Source organism: Homo sapiens, chromosome X (assembly GCF_000001405.40).
Source record: "Homo sapiens chromosome X, GRCh38.p14 Primary Assembly".
NCBI lineage: Eukaryota > Metazoa > Chordata > Mammalia > Primates > Hominidae > Homo > Homo sapiens.
The window spans coordinates 27,806,936-27,828,812 of NC_000023.11; the positions used below are offsets into that span (position 1 = coordinate 27,806,936).

The 21,877-nt window shown below is 45.1% G+C and overlaps 1 protein-coding gene and 1 pseudogene across 1 annotated transcript; both read left to right on the plus strand.

Annotated features, from left to right (window-relative positions):
* On the plus strand, positions 1,055-16,079 carry MAGEB10 (MAGE family member B10). Its single transcript, NM_182506.3, has 3 exons — positions 1,055-1,101; positions 10,619-10,767; positions 14,323-16,079. Exon 3 carries the CDS (start codon positions 14,372-14,374, stop codon positions 15,413-15,415), a length of 1,044 nt encoding a protein of 347 aa, NP_872312.2. The 5' UTR covers positions 1,055-1,101; positions 10,619-10,767; positions 14,323-14,371; the 3' UTR covers positions 15,416-16,079.
* Positions 4,949-5,980, plus strand: LOC100420323 (MAGE family member B18 pseudogene; annotated as a pseudogene).

Below are 21,877 nucleotides of genomic sequence, written 5' to 3' on the forward strand. Positions count from 1 at the left end.
TGGGCTCCAGCAATCGTCATGTGTCAGCCTCCCGAGTAGCTGCGCTCGGCCATTACATTTTTTTAAATGGGCATTCGATCATGTACTGAGGTACAGAAAAATTTTTCAACAAAAAATTCAACACAAATGCTTGATAACATTCCACAAACTAACATCAGAAGATAACTTTCATTTCCTAAAACCTATGGCAAACAAACTTAAATGTGAAATGCTGAACGCTCGACGCATTCTCATTAAAGCAAGGAACCAGACATAAATGTATGCTGAATACATGGCCAGAGGATAAGACTATAAAAACAAATGTAACTTGGAAATATTTAATAGAAATAGAAATTATTTGGTGAAAATGTGATCATCATTTTAGAAAATCCAAAGGAAAAGACCACACCCAATCCAAATCAATAAATGACTTCTGAAAAGCGGTGTATAAATCACTGTAGCAAAATCAAAAGCCTTGCCACACAAAGCAGTAGTAATAGAACATGCATATAATATATTTGGTGGAACAAATAAGACCATAATTAAAATGAATTTCACTGCACAATACAATGCAATGTTAGATAAAGTCAAGAGATCTGGGTCTCACAAAATTGTGTACATCTATGGCTTCTCTATAGAAAGTAGATCTTTTAGAACAGAAAGTTCGCAATGTCTACATTTCGCCAGTGAAGAGACCCCATAGTTATAATGCACTTACTCCAACATCTCAGAATCTGTCTTGGGCACCCTACCTTTGTGCTGCGGCCTCTCTTCTCCCATCAAGCCTGGAACGCAAACCCATTATCCGTAACGGTTTATGTTGCAAAACTGTCCAGAGCTTATTGTTTGGTGATTATTTCTCTAAGGAGCCTGTAATCAATGAATTAGGAGCCAAAATATGGATCTACTTCCGAGAGGACTTAATATTACTATTACTCCATAACAAAGAGGGCGCCACAGAAAGTCACGCCACGCCGCCCTTGCTGGCAGCCCTTCGGGCCGTGGGCAGGATGCCCGGATGTCACGTACACTTCCGCTTCTGCCGTCCGTGGGAGGTGAGGCCTTGCAGTGAGGCGATTGGTATCTGGTCAGCAGAGAAAGGCATCCAGGCCCCGCCAGGAGGTAAGGCAAAGACACTGAATAGCATTTGAGGGGACCCACTACCACAAAAGAAAGAACGCCATGCCGTCCGGCCTCGGCCTTAAGCCGCAAAAGCCCCGGGCAGGGATCCTCTTAGGTATCGCACTCTGCATTATTCTTCTGGAGAGTCAGGGAAGTGATAGCATTGGGCTAAGGTGCTGGCATCAAGCCACCAGAGATTGGGGTCTTAGAACCCTCCAGTAGTCAATAAAGGGTTATTATTTCCCTAAGGGGCCTTTAATCAATGAATTAGGAGCGAAAACATGGATATACTTCCTAGAGGAGGACTTAATATTACTACTACTCCATAACAAAGGGGGCGCCACAGAAAGTCACGCCACACCGCCCTTGCTGGCAGCCCTTCGGTCCGTGGGCAGGATGCCCGGATGTCACACACACTTCCGCTTCTGCCGTCCGTGGGAGGTGAGGCCTTGCAGTGAGGCGGTTGGTATCTGGTCAGCAGAGGAAGGCATCCAGGCCCTGCCAGGAGGTAAGGCAAAGACACTGAATAATGTTTGAGGGGAACCCCTACCGCAAAAGAAAGAACGCCATGCCGTCCAGCCTCTGCCTTAAGCCGAAAAAACCCCGGGCAGGGATCCTCTTGGGTATCGCACTCTGCATTATTCTTCTGGAGAGTCAGGGAAGTGATAGCATTGGACTAAGGTGTTGGCATCAAGCCACCTGAGATAAGGGTCTTAGAACCCTCCAGGAGTCAATAAAGGGTGAGTTCCATAAAACTCCCTTTCTGCCATAGCGGACCGGTCCCCACAGAGCCCAGCCTCTGCTCTCAAGCCTGGGTGATCCTAAGTAGGGGTAGCTGGAATTTCCACCTTTAACCTCTCAAGGAGATGAGGGTATTGGACCACGGTGTCTGCCTCGGGCAGCAGGGGAAGGAGTCCTATTGAGAGGTGACAGCATGCTGGCAGCCCTCACAGCCCTCGCTGGCTCTTGGTGCCTCCTCTGCCTGGGCTCCCACTTTGGTGGCACTTGAGGAGCCCTTCAGCCCACCGCTGCACTGTGGGAGCCCCTTTCTGGGCTGGCCAAGGCCGGAGCCGGCTCTCTCAGCTTGCAGGGAGGTGTGGAGGGAGAGGCCTGGGCGGGAACCAGGGCTGCACGTGGTGCTTGCGGGACAGCGCAAGTTCCCGGTGGGCATGAGCTTGGCGGGCCCGGCACTCAGAGCAGCTGGCAGGCCCCCCGGCCCAGGCAGTGAGGGGCTTAGCACCTGGGCCAGTAGTTGCTGTGCTCAATTTCTCGCCAGGCCTTAGCTTCCTTCCCGTGGGGCAGGGCTCAGGACCTGCAGCCCGCCATTCCTGAGCCTCTCCCACCCCCCCAACCCCGCCAGCCCCCTCCAACCCCGCCAGCCCCCCCCAACCCCGCCAGCCCCCCCCAACCCCGCCCGCCCCCGCCCCAACCACCACCCCCCCGCCGGCCCCCCCCCCGCCCCGCCCGCCCCCCCCCCCGCCCGCCCCCCCCCCGCCGCCGGCCCCCGCCCCGCCCCGCCCCGCCCACCGCCCCCACCCCACCCACCCCCCCTCCTGTCCTACCGGAGCCTCCCTGACGAGCGCCGCCCCCCGCTCTGCGGTGCCCAGTCCCATCGACCACCCAAGGGCTGAGGACTGCGGGCGCATGGCGCGGGACTGGCAGGCAGCTCCACCTGCGGCCCCAGTGCGGGATCCACTGGGTGAAGCCAGCTGGGCTCCTGACTGGTGGGGACTTGGAGAACCTTTATGTCTAGCTAGGGGATTGTAAATACACCAATCGGCACTCTGTATCTAGCTCAAGGTTTGTAAACACACCAATCAGCACCCTGTGTCTAGCTCAAGGTTTGTGAATACACCAATGGACACTCTGTATCCAGCTACTCTGGTGGGGATTTGGAGAACCCTTGTGTCAACACTCTGTATCTAGCTAATCTAGTGGGGAGGTGAAGAACCTTTGTGTCTAGCTCAGGGATTGTAAATGCACCAATCAGCACCCTGTCAGATCAGACCACTCAGCTCTCTGTAAAATGGACAAATCAGCAGGATGTGGGTGGGGCCAGATAACAGAATAAAAGTAGGCTGCCCGAGCCAGCCTTGGCAACCCGCTGGGGTCCCCTTCCAAACTGTGGAAGCTTTGTTCTTTCACTCTTTACAATAAATCTTGCTGCTGCTCCCTCTTTGGGTCCACACTGCCTTTATGAGCTGTAACACCACGAGCGAAGGTCTGCAGCTTCACTCCTGAGCCAGTGAGACCACGAACCCACCAGAAGGAAGAAGCTCCGAACACATCCGAACATTAGAAGGAACAAACTCCGGACACGCCACCTTTAAGAACTGTAACACTCACCACGAGGGTCCGCAGCTTTTGAGACCAAGAACCCACCAATTCCGGACACACTATGCTCTGCCACGTGTTAATGAAATGCCCCAGTGTGGGCTGTGGGGGAAACTAGCTTCCCATAAAGATGGCGGCCTTAGAGAATCCTGCCCTTCCTGTAAGTTCTGGGAGGTCCCTAGCGTGGCTGTAAGGCCCAGGTGACCCCTCGCTTCATATTCTGGTGGTGGTCGTGGGGAAGGGTACAAACTAAGGCTAGCGCATTGAGGTCAGCAGTGGAAGGAGTCTTTGGGGGTAACCAGGAGTTTAGTTTAGAACCCAGAGCAAAGACTGAAGGGATTTTCTTCCCAGAACAAAGGGGACCCAACAGAGTACCACTACTATGAGCCTTGGTAGCCTTTCAGCATGACTCTCGGCTAAGGTATCCCTCAATTTATCCTTAGTGGTCACAGGGTGATGAGGACATAGATTTGATAGGGCAGTCAGTGGCAGGTCATTAGAGGGAGGTGACTCAGGCCCTTATGGAAGTCAAAGTGAGGACTGATGGGGCTAGGCACTGCCTCTGTGGTCAGCCTTGGGAAGCCCTGGGCAGATTTGTCATTCTGAACGCACCCCACCCCCTCCCTCCAACTGCATACTCTGGGATATCAAGTGGAAGAGGGCCTTTCTCTGATTGGTATAGGCCTCAAGTCCTCAGAGGGGAAGGTATGAGGCTGTCAAGGTGAGGAGTCATTAGGAGGAACCTGAATTTCCAGAAGTAAAAGAGGATTCATAGAGCCCTAAGAGTGCTGTCTTTCCTGATAGGGGTCCCTGGGGAAGATACATCTGAGGCCTCCCTAATATCTTTATCAGGAATGTCAGGGATGTGAAGGCCTTGCTTGGAGGGGATAGGTTTCAGGTAAGCAAAAGGAGGGCAATCAGACCCTCCAAGAAGCAAAAGTAAAGACTGAGGACTGAAAACTAATTACCTCAAGATAAAGAGGGTCTCACCGATCTCTGCATTGCTGCCATTCCACAATGTCCCCCTGCAAATGTGGTCACATGAGATTCCCCCTCAATTTCTTGTCTGGGGAGTCAAGGATATGAGCGCTTTGGAATGAGGGAGTCAGCATCAAAACAGTTCAGCAGTGAGATAACAGGTCCTGCCAGAAGTCAAGGTGATGGCCCTGAATGTGAATTGAAAGAAACATCGTCTACCCCAGAAAAAAAGGAAGCTCCATAGAGTCTGGACCTGCCAGTCACTGTATCAGTCCCAGTAAGATGCAGGTAATACTGGCAGGCTTCAGCAAAGGTACAGTCTAGTTACTTCCACTGATTCCTCAGGGGAAAGGCCCTTCAGAGAAGAGTAGCCTCATAGGATCCTTGAACAGTGTTCTCAAAGAAACCTACAGAAGCAACTTCCATAAAGTCAAGGTGATATCTTCCTGCTGGAGGATCACACCTTCTTTCCTTGAGGTCACTTCATCACCTGCCATCTGTCTCACACTACTACTTACCTCTGAGCAGAGTCATAATGCCTCGGGGTCAGAAAAGTAAGCCCCGTGCCCGTGAGAAACGCCGCCAGGCTCGAGAAGAGCCCAAGGACGTGGAAGGTGCTCAAGTCACTGTAGCAGAGGAAGGAGAGTCCCTCACTTCATCTCCTCATTTCAAAGATAGTCCTGAGAGGTCATCTGCTGTCGAAACACCCAGCAATGAGCAAGAGCCTGGGATAGCTCTAGCCATCACCACTGCTGCAGCTGTTTCATGCACAGCATCTAATGAAGGCATCGACAGCCAAGTTGAGGAAAGGTCAAATGCCTCACAGGCCCAGGCTACCACTGGGCAGTGGCCCAGAGGCCCTATAGATAAGAAGATTGCTATGTTGGTGCATTACCTGCTGTACAAATGTCAAATGCAAGAGCCCATTACAAAGGCAGATATGCTGAAAAATGTAATCCAGACGTAAAAGAGCCTCTTCCCTGAGATCCTGAGGAGAGCTTCTGATCACCTGGAGTTGGTCTTTGGCCTTGACGTGAGAGAAGTGGATCCCAACAAGAGCATCTATGTCCTTGTCAACAAACTAGAATTAGGCCATGACACAAGAGTGAATCCTAACAGAAGTTTGCCCAAGAATGGCCTGCTGATGACCATCCTGAGTGCGATCTTCAGCCAGGGGAATTGTGCCCCTGAGGAGGAAGTCTGGAAGGTGCTAAATATGATGGGGGTATACGAGGGACAGGAGCACGTCATCTATGGAGAGCCCAGGAACCTCCTCACCAAAGATTTAGTGCAAGAGCAGTACCTGGAGTATTGGGAAGTGCCCAACAGCAGTCCTCCAAGCTATGAATTCCTGTGGCGTCCACGAGCCTATGCTGAAACCAGCAAGATGAAAGTCCTAGAGTTTTTGGCCAAGATCCATGGTACAGTCCCCAGTGCCTTCCCATCCCATTATGAAGAGGCTTTGAAAGATGTGGAAGAGAGATCCCAAGCCAGAATTGCAGCCAGGGCCCGTACTGCCACCATGGCCAGTGCACGTTCCAAGGCCACGTCCAGCAGCCTTGCCTGCTCCAAGTGAAGGCTGAGGAAAATGCTTTACTGTGTTTTTGAAGAGGACAGTCAGTGTTTCACTAGTGGAGGGTTGGCTGTGTCTCGTTATAACATAGTACATAACATGTTCTGGGTAACTTGGATATTTAAACGTTGTTCCTTTTAATAGAAGGTTAAAGTAGCTTAAGAATCCAAGATTATAAGTGATAGTAAGTCATACATTTATTGATGTTTGTGAGGTTTTAGAGTAGAGTTTTACTATTTTATAGAAAAAAATGGGAAAATTTCCATCTTATTTAGTGATCTCCAATGAGATAACATAGTAGTGGATTAGCCATTTCCTTGGAAATATTTTTTTAAAAAAGCAGTAAAATAGTTGGGATGAAGAAATAGAGGTAAAATGTAAAAGATGATAAATGCTTTCATTCCGTTATGTTTAGTCTGTTCTGTAAAATTAAGAGATAGATACTTAGATATGATTAGTTTATTCAACAATGTAGGAGAAGGAACATCATAATAAAACTGACTTCTTGCACACTGGCTCACTTATTTCTCAAACATTACTTGGGCATCTGTTCTTTGGAGGGAAGGCGCCATGCTGGTACTGGGAATGTCAGGATAAACAAGACCCAAGGGCACGCACTGAATTGTAGAGTCTAAGAGCAGCTGTCATGTAAGGAAGATGGTGAGATATACCCTAAGAAGTAAAGGATGAGTAAGAGAAGGTGGGAAGATCCAGATCAGAGCAGTCAAGTGAAAATGTCCTGAGGCAAGTGGGTTTGGGGCCTTAGGAAACTGCAAACCCTTCAGTGTCAGTCAATTTTGTTAGTCTGGATAGTGGGTTGGTTGAGGCTGTGGGAGTACAGAGCAGGGGCCAGATCCTCAAAAAGACTAATGCCTAGAATGAAGAAGTGCTTTTAGCAGTTATTTTGAGGTAATAGATAAACCAGAAATAATTGTAAGATGGGAATGGAAGGTGTCTTGCATCCTTTTCCAGTGTCATTTTTCCAGTGCAGTTGGGCACAGTCCACAAACTATGTTTTATGCACATCAGCTCCAGGGACCTTCTGAGAATCAAGGGTGACCTGACATGAATGTGCTCAAAAGCCATTGTGCTGGCATTATTTGCTCTGGCCTGGGAGAAACAAGAGCCCACTAAACCCACTTAATTAAAAGGGCTTTTAAAAAAACTTGTACTTTAAGTTCCTGGATACATGTGCAGAATGTGCAGGTTTGTTATATAGGTATGCATGGGCCATGGTGGTTTGCTGCACCTATTGACCCATCATCTAGGCTCCCTCCCCCTGCCCCTCACACCCCAACAGGACCCGGTGTGTGTTGTTCCTAAAAGGGCATTTTTATTAGGTTGTCTTTAGTATCATTTGGCAAACTCAAGTGAGGGCTAGATTTTTGATGCGAGTGAAAGAAATGAAAATAGGGGTGGTTTGGATGGAAGGATAGTTGAAGGGATGGAAGGAATTAGTCTTTGACATAAATTATAGGAGTCTTGAATCCAACTGGGGAAGACTACCCCACACCCGCAATAAATAAGAAATCCTCAAATTTGCAAAGTAAATAACTGAGTTTTACTTGCTAAGCGGCATTTTTGGTTGATTTGTGTGCTGTATCATAGAGTGCTGCATATTTTCGGACATCTCTTGCTTTAAAAACAATCACAGAGATTTCAATAGGGCCTGGGGTCAAACTAATAATAGTAACAAACGCTAGTTATTAAATATGCAATAAATAATAGGCACTTTTCCCAGAGTTTTCATACATTACATACAACCCAGAAATCCTACAAGGCAAGGCTTATCAAGGTCACTTCACAAAAAGCCTGAGCCTCATAGAGCTTTGCAATTTTCCTGACTTCACGTGGTTCATTAAGTGTCAAAATTAGAACCATAGTCTGAATTTGTTTAGAACCCACACTGTTGCACTCCTTCCTGCATGAAGCACATGTCTGTCTTTTAATTCATTTCTCTTCTCACTACTGCACTGTGTCTCTAGGCAATAAAAAGAAGGAACCTGGGGCCAGTGTACTAAATCCAGATGTAATAAATAATGGAGAAAATGAGAATTGAACACCATTTGGGGACTGCCCGTGGGCCTCATTTTCGTAGGGTCCATCCACCCCTAGCTCCAGGGTTCTTTGGGAGCTGATTTTGCCCAGGTGCTGGCACCTGGGACCAGATCCAGCACTTCCCAAATTACACTGTTCTTTCCTTGAGTCAGCCCCTGTGAGTCCTTGTGCCCAAATCTGGATCCTTACCTGCTGTCCAGCTCTTCCCTGCTTCCTTCCATGAAGGCTGCACCCTGCTCCCTATGGGAAAGAAAGCCCAGAATAACTTTCCTTCCTTTCTCCTGACTTAGAGCTTTCCAACTCCCTGCAGATGTCCTCTGTTTTGTCACATCACTCACTTGGAACTTCTCTGATAACAGCCCCTTCCATGTAATTGTTTACTTTGGCAGTGAACACTACATACCTGCTCATCTGCTCTGAGTAATTCCACCACACTCAAGATTTTTTCCAAGTCTGCCTGTGAGTCAGGTCAGACTTGGAACAGAATCTAACCTTGAAAGATAACTCTGAAGTTAGAGAGGAGGTGTAGAAAGCAGATGAAGTTAGAAAGAGAGGAGAATGTAATCTGGTGACTTATTTGAGACTAGCACTGAATCCATACACTAGTGAGCTTAAGTGAATGGTGAAAATATCGAAGCCTCTGTCTCAAGTGGTGGATAAGGAAGGACCTAGGAAATAACTGTGTATCAACCATGTCCAGAAATTGGATTCCTATAAATCCTGGTGTACTAGGAGCATGTAGTAGATTTCTATGCTGACATAACAAATGCCATACAGTAAGACACTTAAAATAACATATTGATTAGATCACCCTTCTGTAGGTGAGAAGTATGGGTTGGTTCTGCTGGTTTCTTTGCTTAGGGTTACACAGGCCCAAATCAAGCTGTCAAAGCCTGGCTTCTTATTGGGACACACTGTGAAGAATCCCATTTCAGGCTTATTCAGGTCATTATATGAGGAACCCAGTTCTTTGTGGTTGTAAGAAGAGTGAGGAGTAAGTCTCCTTTCAGGCTATCAGTTGGAGCTGCCATATTTTCTCCAGGCCTGTGTCCAGTCTTTGCATGTGGGCCTCTACTTTTGAGTCAGACTTGGGACATTGAACCTGTCTCACGCTTGGAATTTCTCTAACTTCTGTCTCTGCTGCATATCTCTTCTGCCTCCAGGTGGAGAAACTTCTCTGCTTGTAAGGGCTCATCTAATTAGATTTGGCCCATGTAGGCAATCCAGTGTAATCTCTCTATTTTCAGGTCGGTTTCATAATTTTAATTATATTTGCAAAGTGCCTTTGGCCATGTAACATAACATATTCATGGGTTTCAGGAATGAGGATATGTGAATCTTCGTGGAGCAATTATTCAGTCTACCACAGAGGTAGAATATGTCTCTCTGGCAGACATGCCAGCTTTGATAAGAAAAGAAAAACCATAATTCGCCATCATTCTCCTGATTCTTGTCTGTATCTGCGCCAAGGGAAAATCCTGGTTTTTCATTGCGCCTAAGGGCACCTGTACATGTGCTCAGGTGTACATGTTCATCAGGTGGTGGGTAGCAGGACTCACAAGTTACGTTTTTAACAATACATCAAAAGAAGGAAGAAATTTTTCAGTCTCTTGAGATTATAGAGGTCATTGAAAAGGTCAGTGCAGAAAGGTGTTATTGAGTGCAGCGGGGTGAACCCTCCTTGCTGAGATTTACAGGATCGTTTTGAAAATTAGTGTGATTCTGGATTTGAAATTACCTGTCACATATAGACACTAGAAAATGTTGTTGTTTAGCAAAGATATTTGATATTCTCAGAAACTCCTCCAAGACTTAAGAAGGGTGTTTTCATAACAAATTTATAGTAGTAGCTTTTATTGAGCTTTTACTATTATAATAGTTAATTGGACAGACTGCAAGTGCTCATCCACTTTGTGTCTTGCTTTCTATCCTTGGTTCATATGGAGACTACATTGCCAGTCCACTTGTAGTTTGGAAAGGTCATGTGACTACCCCCCTTGACACTGAAATATGAACAGTAGCATGCTTTTCCCTTTCAGATCAAAGTGTTTGAGAGCCAGTCTGCCACCTCCATGCCTTCTCTTCCATGCTGAGATATGGAGCCACAGTATAGAAGCAGCATGGATCCCTGGGACACCTGACAGCAAAAAATCCCTATTAATTAATATCAAAGTTTATTTGCATAAGAGATAAACCTTTAGTGTGTTAAGCCATTGAGATTTCAGCCTTTTGCCATTACATCTCATACATACTTTATCTGTACAATACACAACTACTAATTCCATTGTTATTATTATTTAAATATTTTAATTACCAAGAAAATAGTGTATGTATTCTTGTTGCCAAAAATTCTAATACAGATAAATCAAAATTTCGCTTCCTTACTATGTCCCTCCAAAATTCAATACCTCCTCATATGTAACCACATTTTTTAAATCCTGCATGTAGTATTTTTAAATGTATTATAGGCTTTCTCTTATATACATGTGCAACAAAAATACACTGTGAGGGTTTTTTTGCTTTTGTTTGCTCCTTTTTCTTCTTAATTTTTATTTACTTATTTATTTCTTTTAGAGACGGTGCCTCGCTCTGTTGCCCAGACTGGAGTGCAGTGGTGTGATCATAACTCAGTATAGCCTAGAACTCCTGAGCTCAAGCAATCCTCCCACCTCAGCCTTTCAAGCAGCTAGGAGTACAGTTGGGAGCCACTGTACCTGGTTACTGTGAGTTTTAAATATACATTGATAACTGTTTACATATTGCTCCACAATATGCCTTAGAATTTTGATATTTCAATAACACATTTCTCTTTACTTTGAGAAGAAAGGATTTACTCAGAATGACAAGGTTCCAGGAAATGTGCCTTAACAAGAAAACCTCAATTAGTGAAGGACATCAGGAAAACTGGGCACTGGAACAATTTCCAGAATCCACGAGAGAGATCATAAGCTAAACAAAGTCCAGAGAACTCAGGGCACGGGGTAGTCAGGGATCTGTATCCAGAGTTCAGCGTGGGGTAGCAATGGGACAAGAAGGAGTAAAGATGAGGAAACTGGTGGTGTCTTGGACAACTTTTCTGAATAGCCTTGGCAATCTCTGAATCATCATTACCAGCATGAAGTTGTAGGCTGAGCTGTCCAGAGGCGTGCTCTGCTAGAGTCTTCCCTTCCCACTTCTCAGGCAGAGTGTGGCTTGCTACCCTGCGTCAATTAATACCAGTTATGATATTAATTGATCCTGGGAGAGCTACATCTCTTCACTACTCTGGTCGTTCAGGGCACCCTTTCCAGTGTAGCAGGGTTGAGAGCTGTCTTGATGCCTATAAGAAAGAATGTATGTGGCCCTTGTATATGTGGCCCCCCTTGAGTATGTGGCCCTCCTACCACTGAGGTTGAAGCTGTGCAAATAGACATGATTGGTGATTAATGACAGTTAAAACAGGGCAAATAGTACCAATGAGTAGTGGCATAGTGTAGATTCAAGGAGGGGGGAATTGGAAAAGGGATTTCCTGAGACGAACTACCTCACTGACTCTGTAACTAAAAGGCTGAGCGTGCATATGCCTTTAAACAAGGATCCAGATGTTATCCCCAACTCCGAATACTTCCTAACATCACTGACTTCTTTGCAGAACAGAGGGCTGATTTTTTGTTGCTGTGTCTGGTGGCCTTTGTTGCCACCAAACACTGTAGTAGGGTGCTGGTTTTCAAGGCAAGTATTTCCAGGGTAGATGGAGAACCATTGCAGATGCTGCAGCTCCTTATTGAATGGACTGCAGGTAACAAGTATAGGTGGAGTCCAAATCTCTATCTTCTTTACTGTTATAATCCTGACTTGATTCGAATCAACTGAAAATTTTTATAAAGGGGGATTCTGCACTAGCCATTTGCAAAGTTATTACATGATCTGTAGTAAAATTTACATCATTTCTCACTGTGAGGTAGGGGCATTGGACCGGGTGTCATTCTCAGATCCACAGAGGGAGGAGTCCCAGTCTCTAAAAGGAATAAAAATGAAGACCCTGATGAAGTTTTGAAAGAGTCACCCACTCCATAACAGACTGCTCAGCACAGAGACCACCCCTGCTGTTAACATTTCTAAGCCAATGCCTCGATGTTAGGCCCAGAAGCCTCCTCACTTCACCCTCTGTAGTCCAGGGATATGGGACTGTGGGGTGAAGTGGTTGGGGACGAAGGCTTTGTTTTAAAGCTGAATGACTCAGATCAGGAGGAGGAGTCGTCCCAGGCCCCCCAGAGTCAATGAAAGACCCCTATGCAACTTCTGTCAGAATTCCCTACTCCCACAAAACACAAGCCACCCCCTTACTTCTAAGAGCTGCACCCCTGCTCTCAGCACTGGGTCCCATATGGGGGTGGCTAGAATTGGCTTCCCCAACTTCTGACTCTAACTTCTCAGAAGAATGAAGGCATTAGTCTGAGCAGGGTAGCCTCAAATCAGCAGAAAAGAGAGTTCCAGAGATTTCCAGGTCCTGTCAGGAGTTAAGTTAAAGACCTTAACTGAGATCTGAGGACTCTTTATACCAGAAGAGAGAAGGACCAACAGAATCCCAGCCCTGTGTAAGCCCTGGGAGACCCTGGACAGGGATCCTCTGATGTAGTGCCCTTTGAATTCCCAGGATCCTGGGAGGTGACAGCATTGAACCATGCTTTGGCATCAGACCAGTAGAGAGCAGGGTTCCAGACCTTCCAGCAGTGATGGTGAAGACCCTAATATTTGAGGCAACTATCCACACCAGATCAGAAGGGCTCCACAGCATCCAGGCTTCTGCTTTCAGGCCTGAGAAGCCCATGAATGGAGTGGCCAGATATAAAAGTCTCTGAGTTCCACCTCTGGATTTTTAGGGAAGTTAAAAAACTGGTGCCAGAGGGAGGTGTTAAATCAGCAGAGGGAGGAGTTCCAGGCCCTGCTAGGAGGTAAGATAAAGACCCTTTGTGAGGTGTAAGGGTAATAGCCATGCCCTTGCTGTTAGTGGTAGCCAACCTTGGGCAAAAAAAAACCTCTTATATAGCACCCTCTGAATTCCCTCTTTGGAAATTCAAGGAGAGGACAGCATTGGACCAAGGTTACAGCCTCAGGCCAGCAGATAAGAGTCCCAGGCCCTAACAGAAGTAAAGGTGAGGAAACTGAGTGAGATCAGAAGGAACCACCCACCACAAAAGAGAGGGGTTCATAACAGAGTCTGCCCCTGCTCTCAGCCCAGGGAGGTCCCAGGTTGGAGTGGCTATTGTGACACTTTCTGAATTCCATTACTGCTTTCTCAAAGAAGTGAAGAGGTTTAGGTTGTCAGAGGAGCTATTTTGAGGCCTTGCCAAAAGGGAATACAAAGATCTTGAGTGAAGTTTGAGGGGGACTTCCACTCCAAAAGACGGGCCCCATGGATTCATGACAGGTCCAGGACAGGGCCTGATGAAGCACCCTCTGAATTCTGGTGAGAACTCAGGGAGGGGAGGGCGTTGGACCAGAGTGTCAGCCTCTGGTCAGCAGAGAAGGAGTCCCAAGCCCTAAGAAGAGTAAAAAGAATCCTGAGTTCTGAGGGAGCCATCCACCCCAGATCAAAAGGGGACAGCACAGAGTCCCATCTATGCTGTCAACCCTGAGGGACTGTGGGGTAGATATGTTAGGCTGAGGTCTCTCTCACTTTCTCCTTTTGTAACTCAGAGATGTGAGGGCCTTGCTCTGAGGGGATAGGTCTCAGGCCATCACAGGGTGAAGTCCCAGGGCCTAGCAGAAGCCAAGGTGAAAACCCTGAGTGAAGAATGAGAACACTAAGGATCCCAGAATATAGAAGGTCCCTCAGAGCTTTTCTATTGTAGTCATCCTGGATGTCCTCAGGCAGGTGTGGTCAGATGAGTTTCCCTTTCAGTTTCTCTACCAGGGTAGCAGGGAAATGAGGGGACTGAAATGAGGGGTCAGTAGAGTAGAGGGATCCCAGAACCTGCCAGAAATCAAGAGGACAGTTCTGAATGTGAACTAAGAAAAGAGTCCCTACCCAAGAACAAAGGGGCCTCCACAAAGCCTGGACCTGCCAGGCCTGGCTGTCATCACCCAGTAAGCCCCAGGCAGATCTGGCAAGTGGCAACCTAAAACACATCCTAGTTATTTCACAGAGTACTCAGGGGGCAGGCAAATCAAAGAATAGGGGCCTTGTTTTTCCTTGAGTAATGCACCAAGAAAACTTTCAGAGGTGGCCGTCAATAAAGCTAAAGTTGTATCTCTCTGCTGAATGGGCACACCCCATTTCATCTTCTCTTCTCCAGGTCACGGGATCACCTGCCTTTTTGGCTGCTGCACCTGAACAGAGTCATCATGCCTCGAGGTCAGAAGAGTAAACTCCGTGCCAGGGAAAAACGCCGTCAGGCCCGAGGAGGGCTGGAAGATTTGATAGATGCTCTGGACATTTTAGAAGAGGAGGAAGAATCTCCCCCCTCTGCCTCTGCTTGTTTGAAGGATGTTTTCCAGAGTTCACTTGATGGGGCATCCAACAATCCCCATGGACTTCGGGAAGCCCAATCCACCAGCACATCTGCTACAGCTGCTTCACACACAAGACATCCCGAAGGAGTCAACGACCAAATGGAAGAAAGGCCAATATGCACACAAGATCTAGAAGCCACTGATAGCTTTCCCAGAGGCCCTGTAGATGAGAAAGTAATTATATTGGTGCATTACTTGCTGTACAAGTACCAAATGAAAGAGCCCATTACAAAGGCAGATATGCTGAGAAATGTAACCCAAATGTCCAAGAGCCAGTTCCCTGTAATCCTGAGCAGAGCTTCTGAGCACCTGGAGCTGATCTTTGGTCTTGACCTGAAGGAAGTGGAGCCTAATAAGCACATCTATGTCCTTGTCAACAAACTAGATCTAGGCTGTGATGCAAAGCTGAGTGATGAAACAGGCGTGCCCAAGACTGGCCTGCTGATGACTGTCCTGGGTATTATCTTCACAAATGGCAATTGTGTCGCTGAGGAGGAAGTCTGGAAAGTGTTTAACACGATGGGGTTATATGACGGAATTGAGCACTTCATGTTTGGGGAGCCCAGGAAGCTCCTTACCAAAGATTTGGTGAAAGAAAATTACCTGGAGTACCAGCAAGTGCCCAACAGTGATCCTCCACGCTATCAATTCCTATGGGGCCCAAGAGCCCATGCTGAAACCAGCAAGATGAAAGTTCTTGAGTTTTTGGCCAAGGTAAATGATACAGCTCCCAGTGAATTCTCAAACTGGTATACAGAGGCTTTACAAGATGAGGAAGAGAGAGCCAGAGCCAGAGTTGCAGCCAAGGCTCGCGTTAGTGCCACAGCCGGTGCACGTTCCAAGGTTAAGTCCAGCAAGTCCTCCCAACTGCAGTAAAGTCTGAGGGAGATTCTTCATTTGTGTTTGAAAAGAAATGCACATTCTGAGCTGTGGGAGGTCAGGGTGGGACTGGAGACAACACAGTGAATAATATGTTTGTGTTAATGTTCTATGTGATGGCTTGGAATTTTTGAAGATGTTGTTCCTTTAATAGATGGTTAAAGTAGCTTCACTATCTAAGTTTATGAATGACATTGCTCAAATTTTTCTGTATGTGAGATTAAGAGTAAGCGATTTATTGCTTTATAAGTCTAATTGGGAAACTCTCCATTTATTTAGTGATCGAAACACGATAGCATGGTAGTAAATTAGGCATTTCCTAATTCAATGTGAAATAATTTAGGAGTGTAATAAATGGGATCAAGAAATAGAGCAAAGAGGGTCGGGTGCGGTGGCTCACACCTGTAATCCTAGCACTTTGGGAGGCCGAGGCAGGCGGATCATGAGGTCAGGAGATCAAGACCATCTTGGCTAACACAGTGAAACCCCGTCTCTACTAAAAATACAAAAAATTAGCCAGGCGTGGTGGCGGGTTCCTGTAGTCCTAGCTGCTCAGGAGGCTGAGGCAGGAGAATGGCGTAAACCCGGGAGGCGGAGCTTGCAGTGAGCCAAGATCACACGACTGCATTCTAGCCTGGGTGACAGAGCGAGACTCTGTCTCAAAAAAGAAAAAAAAAATAGAGAAAACAGTAAAAGATGGCTAATTATTACATTCCCTATTGACTTTTATTCTGTTGTTATGTAAAATTAAAAGATATATGCCAGGATATGCTTACATTATTCAAGAATATATAATTAATTACATTGTAATAAATTAGACCTTTTGCACATTGGTTCATCTGTTCCTTAAACATTAATTGAGCATCTGCTCTTTGGATGGCCTTGTGCTAGGATGTCAGGATAAGGAAGATCTACCTGTGCTCATTGGGTTTTAGAATCTAGGAGAAGATGTTACATAAGGAATATGGTGAGATACCCACTAAGTCCTAGAGGACAAGTCAAACAAAGTGAGAATGTAGGAAGAGGGTTATCTAGATGAGAGCATCAAATGTAAATGCCTTAAGGCAAATGGGATTGGAGGTTTGGGAAATTGAAAGTCTTTCAGTGTGAATCAGTTGTGTGGTTTTTTTGGTTTTTGGTTTTTTTTTCCTCACTCTTGTCACCCAGGCTGAAATGCAGTGGTGGGAATCACAACTCACTGCAGCCTCAACATCCTGGGCTCAGGTGATTCTCCTACCTCAGCCTCCTGAGTAGCTGAGACTACAGGTGCACGCCATCGTGCCTGGTTAATTTTTTATACTTTTAGTAGAGACAGGGTTTCGCCTTGTGGCCCAGGCTGTTCTCCAACTCCTGGACTCAAGCAATCTGCCTGCCTCAGCCTCCCTAAGTGCTGGAATTACAGGTGTGAGCCACTGTGCTTGCTTGGTCAGATGAGGCTCTGAGAGTGGTGAGCAGTGGCCATCCTGTCTGAAGACATGTCCAGGGTTGAAACACTAAGGTCTGGAATGGACAGGTAGTTACAGCAGTTGCTTGGGCTCATGGATAAAACAGAAAGAAATCTTCACCTGGGGCAGGAATGAAAGGTTTCCTGTGCTCTCCTAACTCCAGTGCAGTTGATCACAGACCACAAACCACGTGTTCTATACACATCATCTCCAGCAAGTTTCTGAGAAATAAGGGTAATACTATCTTAACATGGGATGCTCAGAAGCCACTTTACTGACACTCTTTGCTCTGGCCTGGGAAAGACAGAGCCTGTGTTATTTTATTTTGTGTTGCTATAATAGAATGCCAGAGACTGGGTTACTTTTAAGGAAAAGAATTTTTTTCACAGTAGTGGAGGCTGGGAAGTCCAAGATCAAGGTGTTTGGTGGCATCAAGGGAGGGATGTCTTGCTGGGCCTTCCCATGGCAGAAAGTGAGGCAGTGAGAGAGGGAAAGCAAGAGAAAAGGGGACCAAACATACTTTTTGAAGCAAACCCACTCCTGTGATAAAGGTATTAATCCATTTATAAGGGCATATCTCTCACGGCCTAATTACTTCTCATCAGGTCCTACCTCACAATACTGTTGGAGTGCCTTTTGGGAGACACATTCCTGTTCACAGCAGAGTCCATTCCATTAATAGGGTATTTAAACTAGATTATCTTGAGTGTAATTTGGCAAACTTAAAGCAAGGGATAGGTGTTTTGATGGGAGTGAAGGAGGAAGTCCTTGACACATTTTCTAGGAGCATCCAGCTGAGCTGCATCTAGCTGGGGTAGATTCTCCCAACACACAATGTAAAAAATGTATATCCTCAAAAAGATTCTTATCAAGTAAGTAACTTCCTCTTGGTAAGAAGCATTTTGATTGATTTGGTTTTCCATGTCTTAGAGGGCTGCATATTCTCTTAATATCTCCAGGATGAAAAATAAATTAAAAATTTCCAAGAGGGGAAGGTTGGTAGTGTTAGCAATCTAAAATATAATAGAATAAACTGTTAGTTATCAAAAACCCAGTACACACTAACACTGTGCCAGCTGCCCTACACAAATAACTTACATTGTAAAAGTCAGACTTCACAAGGTATACACTAGCCAAAGAACAAAATGACTTCTTCAAGCCCACTTCACAAAGAACTTGAGGCTCACAGAATTTTCGAGTTCAAGTGACAAGGCTGAGATGAGACCTCCTGGTCTGAATTCCTCTACAGCCCACATTGTTCCAGTCCTCTCAGCCTGAGGCAGATCTTAGGTCTATTAATTCATTTCGCTTCTCGCTACTCCACAATGTCTCTCAGACAAAGAAAAGAAAGACCCTGTGGCCAAAGCACTAAAAGCAGGCTCTAAAAAGGAAGGTGGAATGAGAATGAGACACAATCTGGGACTGTCTGTGGGGTTCATTGGCCTGGAGTCCTCCCACCTTTAGCCTGGATTCTTCCGGAGCTGACTCTGCCCTGGTCCCTTCAAATGGGTTCAGTCCAGCACTTTCCCACATTACCGTGCCCTTCCCCTGGGTCTTCCCACTGTGCCCTCCTGCCCAAACTGGAACTGACCTGCTGGCCAGCTTTACTGTGTCCTTCTCTGGAGCCTGCATTTGCTCCCAGAGGAATAGACAGCCCAGACTTGCCTGCCTTCTCCTGGACATAGAAGCTTCCAACTGCCTAGAAGCCCCACCCCTCACCTTGGATTCCCTCTGACAGCAACAGCCCATTCTGTGTAATTGTTCACTTCAAATAGTGAAGCTTAGATACCTCTTCATCTCTGGGTGCCTCCACCACACTCAAAGTGTTTTCAAATCTGCTGGTGAGGAGAGTCTGGTTTGGGATAGAATCAACTGATATTTTATCCTGAAGCAGAGATATAATCCTGAAGTAGAGAAGAGGTTTTAGAAAGCAGGTGAGATTAGAAAAAGAAGAGGTTTTAAACTGGTGACTTTTTGAATGTTGCCACCGAATCTATACACTGATGAATGAGCTCAACTAAGCGCCAAAACTCAGAGCTTCCCTCCTAGGTGTTAAATGAGGAAAGACCAAGGAAATAACTGTGTAGCAACCATCTGAAGAGAGTGAATTCTTACAAATTCTGTAGTCTTTCCAGAAAGTTGTAGTAGTTCTATGGTAGCTGTAACACATTACCACAAATGTAGTAGTTTACAACAGCACACATTTATTACCTTTGTAGGGTTTATTGTCTACATTTCTGTACGTGTGAAGGATGGAATGGTTCTGCTAGATTCTGTACTCAGATTTTCACAAGGCTCAAATCAAGCTTTCAGCTGGCAGTCTTCTTATGAGACTCTGAGAAGATTCTCCTTCTGAACTCATTCAGGTTGTTGACAGAATCCAGTTATTTGTGGTAATAAGATTGAGGTCCTATTTCCTAGCTGACCATCAGCTGGAGTTGGCAGGCGTCTCTCCAGTCCTTGAATGTGGGCTCATACATTTTGAGTCAACACTTGTAGGTTGAATTCTTCTCACACTTGTAATCTCTCTAACTTCCCGTCTGCTGCATCTCTCTTCTGCCTCCAACTAGAGAAAGTTCTCTGCCTGTAAATTCTCGTGTCATGATATCGGACTTTCCTGAATAACCTAGTGTAATATTTTTATTTTAAGTTCAGTTACATAACCTTAATGCTTCTGCAAAGTGCCTTTGGTCATATAACAAAGCATATTCATTTTTCAAGGATAATTGTATAAGCATCTTTTTGGAGCAATTAATTATTCAGCCTACTATTGATGTAGACAATGTGTCTTTGGCAGTGCTTTGATAAGAAAAGAATAAAATAATTCACCATAATTCTCCTGACTTTTGTTTCTATCTGCCCCAAGGGAAAATCCTACTTTTCAGTGTGTGTAAAGACACACTGCACACGTGTTTAGGTGTGTTAATCAGGTGGTAGTAGAGACTCCCAAGGTATTATTTAGACCATGCACTAAAAGGAAGAATAACATCCTCCATATTTTGAGATTATTGCAAAGGTCAGTAGAGAAAGGTACTATTTTGTGATGAGAGACAAAAGATCATCCTTGCTGAGATTTTCATGGCTCTTTAGAAAATTGGTGTGATCCTATATTTGAAAACAACTGTCACATGATACACACTAGAAAAATTTCCCAAATTGCAAGGCAATTTTGGCCTTCTCAGAAACTTTTCCAAGAATAGAGATTGTTGTCAAAACAAAGTTTCATATTTGCTTTTTATTGAGCACCTAATAGGTAATAGATTGTGGGAGAGACAAGTTTCCATCCACTTGTTTTGCTGTCCTTCCTGGGCATATGGGGAGACTATATTCCCCAGTCCATTTGTTGTTAGAAAGGGCCACTGAAATATAAACAGAAGCTATGCTTGTCATTTTCAGGCCAAGGCATTTGAGAGTCAGTATGTCAGTTCTATGCTTTCTGGTCTATTCAGCAGCAAATATGGAGCTCTCATGATGAGATGTGGTGCCACATGATGGAAGTAGCCTGGATCCCTGGGTCCTCTGACAGTGAAGACCCCCTGTTAACTCACATCAGATTTTATGTGCGTGAAAAATAAACTTGTTGTGCTAAGACTTTAGGATTTCAGGCTTCTTCCATTACATCCATTAGCAGTGACTATCAGAATATTGCACAGTTACTATTTCTGTTGTTAGTTTTACTCAAATATATTAATTACTCAAATATTCTTGATGCTTAAGAAAATTCTAACACTATGGATAAATCACAATTCTGCTCCCTTACTCTGTTCCTCCAAAATTTATTCCCTACCAGAAGTAACCACCATTAAAAACCTTGAGTCTTTTATTTTTATGTATATTCTAGGCTTTTTTCTTATATACATGTGGTAGGAAAATATATTGTGAACTTTTAACATATATATATATATACTGATGTACATTTTGTTGTACCTGTTGCATTTGTCACTAAATAAAATGGATGCAGGAACTTTCCATGAGAGCACATATAGATCCACCTCACTGTTTAAACTACTACCAAGAATTTCAAGGGACATATGTATCATAATTAATTAAACAATTCTTCTACTGATGGATGTATAAAGTGTTTTCCATTTATTGCTATGACTAATAAGATTGAAATAAACATTACTGAACATGACTTCTTGGGTAAATGTAGATGTTTTATTACAGGAAAGATGTAGAAAAGTATAAATTCAGTTAAAATGGTAAGAATGTGGTGATTGTCAATTTTTTGAATATTACTGAACTTTCATTCCAAAAATGTTGTATACTCTCACTGGTGTTTTCTTTGATAAATTTTAAATTTGGGAGAAATGTTTAGCCAAGTTGTATTGTTTCACTGCTATTTCTATTTTAATTTCCATTTTCTAAGTAGGTTGAACAGAAAATGAACTTAATCCCTCATCCATACGAAGTGAGACATCGGTAGTGATGTCTTGAGCACTAACATTTCTCTGGGCATTTGCTTTAAAATTCTCATATGTCAAGAAAACATTTCTCTTCACTTTGAGAAGAAAGAACTTGGTCAGTATGACCAGGGTCCAGAAAAATGTGCCCTGACAAAAAAACCTCAGTTAGTGAAGAACATCAAGAGAACCGGGGACTAGAACAATTTCCAGAACCCATGAGAGAGATCACAAGCTAAACCAAGTCCAGAGAACTCAGGGTAGGGAGTGGTCAGGGATCTGCATCCAGAGTTCAGCATGGGATAGTAATGGGACCAGAAGGAGTGAAGGTGAGGAAACCGGTGGTGTCTCGGACAACTTTTATGAATAGGCTTGGCAATCTGAATCATTACCCGCATGAAATTGTAGGGTGATCTGAGTACGCAGATCTATTGGATGAAAGGCCCAAAGGCATGCTCTATTAGACTTTCCCCTTCCCACTTCTCAGGCAGGGTATGACTTACTCCCCTGCATCACCCAGTGACGATATTAATTGATTCTGGGAAAGCTCTCTTCACTACTCTGGTGGTTCAGTGCACCCTTTCCAGTGAGAATAAGAAAGATTGTATCTT